General features: G+C 43.3%; 1 long non-coding RNA gene across 1 annotated transcript; it reads left to right on the top strand.

Annotated features, from left to right (window-relative positions):
• Positions 1–474: 474 nt before the first annotated feature.
• On the top strand, positions 475–6,955 carry LOC105378979 (growth/differentiation factor 3). Its single transcript, NR_172721.1, has 3 exons — positions 475–577; positions 1,594–1,845; positions 2,198–6,955. It is a non-coding gene; the product is annotated as a growth/differentiation factor 3 (long non-coding RNA).
• Positions 6,956–7,203: the final 248 nt, after the last annotated feature.

Below are 7,203 nucleotides of genomic sequence, written 5' to 3'. Positions count from 1 at the left end.
TGTTAGCTAAAGTCTAAGAACACAAAGGTGAGTTAAATGGAGTGTTTGTAACTTGCAAACTGTGCATACTTGTCCTTGTTTCCAGCATTTGGACCAACACAGTCTGTCAGAGCGTGTCTTCCACATAAGTGCATCTATTCACTAATTATGTACTTGTGTTTTCGAGGTTGCATTTGAGAAACACAATCTGTATTATCACTTCTTGCACCTCCATTCTGTAAACAGGAGTTGGTATTGAAGTTGTTCTGGGAGTGAGAGTTTCTCTCACTTGAATTTAATTTCTCTTGAATGCGTGATCAGCTACAAGCTGTGGGGGGTTAGAATAGGGCCTACAGCTGGGCACGTGGATATTTAAAGACAGCGAAGGGGAAGCCCCGCTTCTGAGAGCAGGTATGTTGGAGGGTGGCTGTGGGAGAAGTGGCAGCTCCTGGCTCATTCCTGGGCTCTTGGCTCTGGGTCTTTGGTGCATGTGTTTGAGCTCAGTAGAGACGTTTGACTGTCCCAACCCGATGCTGCCTTCCCACATAAATGAGATTTTTTTCTGCCAGGCAACATGGTTTTACCCTCATATTCAAAAGTAAGTAGCTGGAGCGCTGGTCTTTGCCAGGGAAGGAGTGATCCAGAAGCTGCCTGGCAGCATTTTGTGGGGCTGGTCAGGGAATGGGGTGTAAATGACAACAGATATTAAGGGCTCTTGTGAGTAGAGCAAGGAGTTGGGTACAGAATATTCTTCAGCTGGTCTAGCAGAAATGGAATCTGCTTCCTGGTTTCAGCTCTGCAGGCTTGGTATGTAGGATGTCTTTAAGCTTTATGGCTGATGCCCTAAAGTTCTGTGTGTAAGGATGCTCTAAAGTGTGAAGTACACAGCTGCTGGGCTGGGCAACTATAGTGTTTTGGGAGATAAACAGGGCAAGTGGCTTGTCTTAGGTCATGGTGACTGGAATGATTTTCAGTACTAGGGCAATCATTCTGACTTAATTCCAGGGGTAGGGTGATGGGAGTTGAGGAACCTCAGTCCATCCCTGGCTGCTGTGGACTAAGCACTGACTTTGACAAGCTGAGACTGCTAAGTCTTTGTCCTGTCCTGCCCGGCTGGGTAGTGGGGAGTAAGAAGCTGAAAGGGAGGTGGGACTTTCCACGATAGTGGCCTCCTGGAGCTTCCACTCTTCTTTCCCTACAGGCTCATAGTTCCTACACAGCTACTGGCTTCTCTGTTTTGAGGCAGTTTCCTTCTTGGGGGTTTCCTTGATAAAGTTATGGGCTTGGGTGCCCATTGTCCCCCATGCCACTGAGCTTGTTCTAGAGTTCGAGGACCATAGAAGGGGCCTCCAAAGATTCCTTCTGGGATCTTTCCCCATTATCTTTTCATCCTACCAGTCAGAGGGAGGGTCATTATTGGATATCTACTGTTTACTCACGTATTGGATGGAGGTGGTGCCCACCCTCTTGGCAGAGACAAAGATTCCAGCCACTGATGTCGCTGATGCCAGCCTGAATGAATGTTCCAGTACCGAAAGGAAACAAGACGTAGTGTTGCTGTTCGTGACCTTGTCCCACACACAGCCACCTCTGTTTCACCTGCCTTATGTCCAGAAACCCTTAATCTCTAATGTGGAGCAGCTGATCCTGGGGATCCCGGGCCAGAATCGCCGGGAGATAGGCCATGGCCAGGATATCTTTCCAGCAGAGAAGCTCTGCCATCTGCAGGATCGCAAGGTGAACCTTCACAGAGCTGCCTGGGGCGAGTGTATTGTTGCACCCAAGACTCTCAGCTTCTCTTACTGTCAGGGGACCTGCCCGGCCCTCAACAGTGAGCTCCGTCATTCCAGCTTTGAGTGCTATAAGGTAAGACATGGAGCCTCGTTCTTTCTCTTCTGGGGTCATATTGGGATAGCACTAAGTGCTCAACTCTCTAGGCCTGGCTCCTTTTGAGTCAAGGAAGCCATTGAAGTTGGTAATTATGTAATCTAGCACTGATGCAGTGTGTAGCATCTTCCCCGCCCTGTGACCTTATCCCTTATCTTTATTCATAAGAAACATCAGCTTCCTAAAGATTGTTCTGAAACAGCCCTGATCCAGCAGCTTCTCCCCAGGCCCTCCTTCTCCCTTCCCATGTATCCCTGACAAGTCTACTGATGCCCTTAGATATGAGGCTGTGGCTATGAGGCACTCACCATTCTGCCATTTGTTTCTGCAGAGGGCAGTACCTACCTGTCCCTGGCTCTTCCAGACCTGCCGTCCCACCATGGTCAGACTCTTCTCCCTGATGGTCCAGGATGACGAACACAAGATGAGTGTGCACTATGTGAACACTTCCTTGGTGGAGAAGTGTGGCTGCTCTTGAGATACCCCAAAGCCTCCTACTGGCCTCAGGGCCACCTAAGTCTCAGGACTTTAGTAGGGGGTGGGATTACTTTTCATAGCAAGTAGAGCTCTTTGAAGGGAGGTGGGATTTGGTTTGTTTCTCAAAGCACAGCAAGAAGGTTGGCATTATGGCAGTAACCCCTCATAGATGCTTCTCTTTGATGTGGCAGGGGCCCCCTAGTGCTGTTCTCAGTCACTCCTACTACTGGGAAGCTGGGCCCATTGAGATGTCTGACTATCGCTGTCCTAGATTGTGAGTGGGCTGGGCTTAGTGCCACCTCTGGGATCATTTAGGTGGGGAAAGAGGAACTGGAATTGGACGCATGTCAGCTCTTGGGGTAGGGGTAAAATTGTTACCAGTGTTAAGCTGGCTTTGGACTCTTTCTGAGCCATTCAGCTGCTATCATCCTTCTCTGTACCATTGGCCTGGGGCTGGTCCAGAACTGACCTCAGCATGTACATTCCTCCTCACCTAACACTCCTGGCCTCTTTAGAGGGAGTGAAGACTCTGTGGAAGAAAGCATTCTGTCATGGGCTAGTCATGGGTAAAGGGCCCCAAGGCCTTCACAACCTGGTGTCAGATGGGAGCCTGAGAGTAGAGGATGTTGCTTGACTGACAGAGGGGGCCTCTGGCCTCATGGAAAGTTTGTCTCACTATCATTTAAGGAACTTGATATTAGCTTTTTCACTATCTTTAATAAAACTATAGGACCATTGTTGTGGGTCTCTTATGTTGGATATCTATTACTTAATGCCCTTGAGCCTCTGAATCAGAATGAGTAGATAGATGTTGGGTTTCAAATCCTATCGTCAAGGATCACAGGAAAGAAGCAACGCAATGCACTTTGAAACAAATATTCGGTCATTATAGCACTCACTCAATGACTCCTAGTTTTAGGTTCTAAAACTTACGTCCAAAGTAAGATATAAGGAAGTACTCCAACGCAGATATTAATACCAAAACTACTTGTTAGATTTCTTGAGGCAGAAGAGAAACAAAGTTAGATGACACTCAGAACCTTAGTAACATGTTATCTGTCCTATTGGGAGGAGGAGTATATCAGTTAAATTTACAATTTTAAAATGTGACTTTCTCAGTGGACATTCATAGTTCACATTAGCCTGCACCTTGCAGAGTATCCCTGTAGAATGATGGTCAGGGTGAGGGCTGAGCATAGAGGAGGGAGAGAGCCATCCCTGGCTCTAGACTTTCCCAAGCTCCGTCCTGGCTGTGTGGCGGATTTCAAGAAATAAGGATGAACTACTGTCTTTTTTTATTCCTTTCTCTATATCTCTGCAATGGAAGTTCTGACAAACTTATGAAAGTGGTTTGTGCTTTTAACTTTAATAGCAATGTATGCAATATGAGAAGCTGACTTTCCAGCCCCAATCCTAAACAAAGGTAGTGACTGTCAGGTTTGACATGTGCTCTGCCAGACTGCTTTCTTTGTATATGAACATAGCCTTAAAACGACCCTATAGCTCCTTAACAAGGTGTTGTGGAGACATTTCAAAATCCTAACACTTTTTTTTCCCCCATGGAAATTAGCTTGTATATAGTATTTAAACAGTTCAATACCCATTTAACTGATTCCCTTATTGATGGACATTCAAAGAGGGCATTTTAAAGTTACCCATTATTACAGTGCTGTGATCATCTTTGAATATAGATTCTTATATTTAGGTAGAATTGCTAAGAAAATGTCAGATGCAATTTGGTCTCCCCAAAAACTATGCCAGTTTACATTTCCCTCAACTGTGAGACCATTTTCCTCACACAGGGCAAGTCCTTTTGATAAGGGATACATTTCATTGTTAAGTTGCATCTTTAAAAATGAAAATTTGAACATATCAAATTAGCCAGTTGAATTCTTTGAGCTTATCAAGCATTTTTTGTCTTATAGAAACTCTTAATATAACAAAATGTGACAAATATATTTAAGTTTCTTTTCTACATGGGGGTATTATATGGATAAGTCCATCTCTGACTTTATTGGTTCTAGGTTTCATATTTGGTCATCCCCATAAAAAGATCATACACACTCTGCCTCTTGTAGTTCTTGTGTTCATGGTCTTATTTATACATTAATACTTCTGGGTAGGGAGAGCTGGAGGCGCCCAGGCCACTTGTGTCTAGGCCTGGCAGTGCCAATCTCTGGCCAGTCAAATGTAAGTGGGAGTCTGCAGGGTTTCCAAGAAGGCTTCTACTTTGGAGTTGAGGGCCTAGTTTACAGTAATAATGTACTACATTACTGGGGGCAATGTAACAAAGATGGCAAAGCTGGAAAGAGTACGGGTTCCTTAGGGCAGGGATTGGCAAGCTTTTTCTGTAAAGGGACAGATAGTAAATATCTTGGGCTTTGTAGGCCATACAACCTCTGTCTACTCAACTCTGGTGTTGAAGCATAGAAATGGCCATTGAGGAAATGTAAATGAGCATCTTTGTATTCCAGTAAAACTTTATTCACGGGCCCTAATATTTAAACTTAATGTAACTTGTCACAAAATATTCTTTTTTCCAACCATTTAAAATAGGTAAAGACCATTCTTCATTTTTGAGTTGTACAAAAGTGTAATGATTGGCCTGTGGGCTGTAGACTGTCAACTCACCTTAGAATATCATTGAGCAGGTGGGCCAATACTAGCAGAGACTTCTAATTTATGAGAAATTGTATCTCTAATTAGGCCACTGTTCGTTTGGTTTTTTGGTTACTTGCAGTCAAATACATTCTTATCTGATACAGGTCTTTTTTTTTTTTTAATAGCCCGCTGTTCTAACCTTTTATTGACTATTTGAACTTTCATCCACCTTCATTTGGGCACTATTTTTTAAATCACATGTTAAATTTCCTTAAGCCTAATAAGTTTTTTCTAACATTCTATTCTAATCCACTAATCTTTGTTCATTTTCATGTCCATATTAACTTAATTCCTATAGTTTTAATGTATACTTAGGATTCTGAAAGAATGTGTACCATACACTAAGTTGTTTTTCTCATGGAAGATGTCTGAATGTCTATATCTTCCCACCCATGAACATGATATAACTTTACATTTAATGGAGAAAAAGATCTGAATGAGTTACCTCACTTTTATTTCATTTAAGCCATGGCAATTTCTACTTGGATTATTTCTTGGTGATCTAGTTTACTGTTTTTAGTGTAAATGGAACTGTTAACTGGAATTACTTTTATGGCATCAGTCCACGTTACTCTTCCAATTCTGTAATGAAACCATGTAGATTCAGAGCATTGTTTTTTGTCCAACATGGAAGACCAACTCAGAGTTCAGTGCTTTCTGTCATTCTACTTAGTCTTTGGAAGGTGCTACTGGGCAGTTTTTTGTTCTGTTTGAATTAGGTGTTATTAAATGCTAGTGAGTCCTTAGACTTGACATCATCTAGAGCAGTAAAATGGTGTTATGTACAACTATTGGAAAGTGGATTGAACCTGGTTGCTGATACCGATCTAAGTGGTTTGGATTTGTGTATATTCTAAGCATCATGTTTTATGTCAATGGGAACCCAGAATGGAGGCTCAAAATAAGTTTAATCTGCATGTGCAGACAACTCCTAAAAGATAAAGAAACAGAGGTAGTAAGTGGCAAGACCTGGGCAAGAGGAGAATGCCAGAGCCTCATCTTCAGACTTACATTCCAACAGGAATGGACTCGTGATGACATGCATTTTGAGGAAGCATACTTTGTGCTTTGGTACTAGTTCTCAAAGGGGCTGAGGTCTGAGAGACAAACAGCCATCAAACCAGGTACAAAGAGGGTGCAGGCTGAGTGAAGCAGCACCCACAATGGCCTAGGGAGGAAAGAGTAGGAGACGGCTGTTCAGCTAAGCAGAGAAAGCTCAATAGAGCTGGCATGTGGGGTTTGCGGTGGGAGGAGTTGAGTGGGTGGGCAGTTTTACTCTTCTGGGCAGAGTCCACAGCATCATGTGAATTCAAATATGTAAATTGCTTTCCTTCATGTAAGATGAAAGATCACTTCTCTTTGGTGACTTGAATGTATTAATAAAAAGCAACAGGAATATCTACTAAAGCTGAATACATGCATACCCTATGTTCTATCAATTTCATTTCTAGCCACATATTTTACCAAAAGATATAGCAGCACTACATGTAAAAACCCCAAATTGAAAACTACCCAAATGCCCATCACCAGTAGAATACATTGTGGCATACTCACATAGGAGAGTACTATTTAACGAGGAGAAACAAAGTAGAACTCTAAATGAACTGATAAATCCCACAGACATGTTGAGGGAAAGAAGCTAGATACAGGGTAAAACATAGCTGTATGATTCTACTTAGGTAGAGAACAAAAATTGGCAAAAGTAGGACGAACACTTCAATTCCATTTATATTAAAGAATCCAGAGTGGTAAGATTCATAAAGACAAAGTAAAATGGTGGTTGCCAGGAGCTAGAGGGAGAGAGGAATAGGGAGATATTGCTGAGTGGGTATTGAGTCTCAGTTATGTGAGATGAAAAGAGTTTTGGAGACGGATGCTGGTGGTGGTTGTACAACAATGGGATTGCACTTAGTACGCTACTGAACTGTACACTTAAAAATGGTTAAGATGGGCTGGGCGTGGTGGCTCCTGCCTGTAATCCCAGCACTCAGAGAGGCCAAGGCGGGTGGATCACTAGGTTGAGATGGAGACCATCCTGGCCAACATGGTGAAACCCCGTCTCTACTAAAAATACAAAAATTAGCTGGGCGTGGTGGTGCACGCCTGTAGTCCCAGCTACTTGGGAGACTGAGGCAGGAGAATCACTTGAACCCAGGAGGCGGAGGTCGCAGTGAGCCAAGATCATGCCATGGTACTCCA

The sequence above is a fragment of the Homo sapiens genome, chromosome 5 (genome assembly GCF_000001405.40).
Source record: "Homo sapiens chromosome 5, GRCh38.p14 Primary Assembly".
NCBI classification, from domain to species: domain Eukaryota; kingdom Metazoa; phylum Chordata; class Mammalia; order Primates; family Hominidae; genus Homo; species Homo sapiens.
The sequence above is the reverse complement of the archived record's forward strand: the minus strand, read 5'-3'. Positions and strand labels throughout refer to the sequence as shown.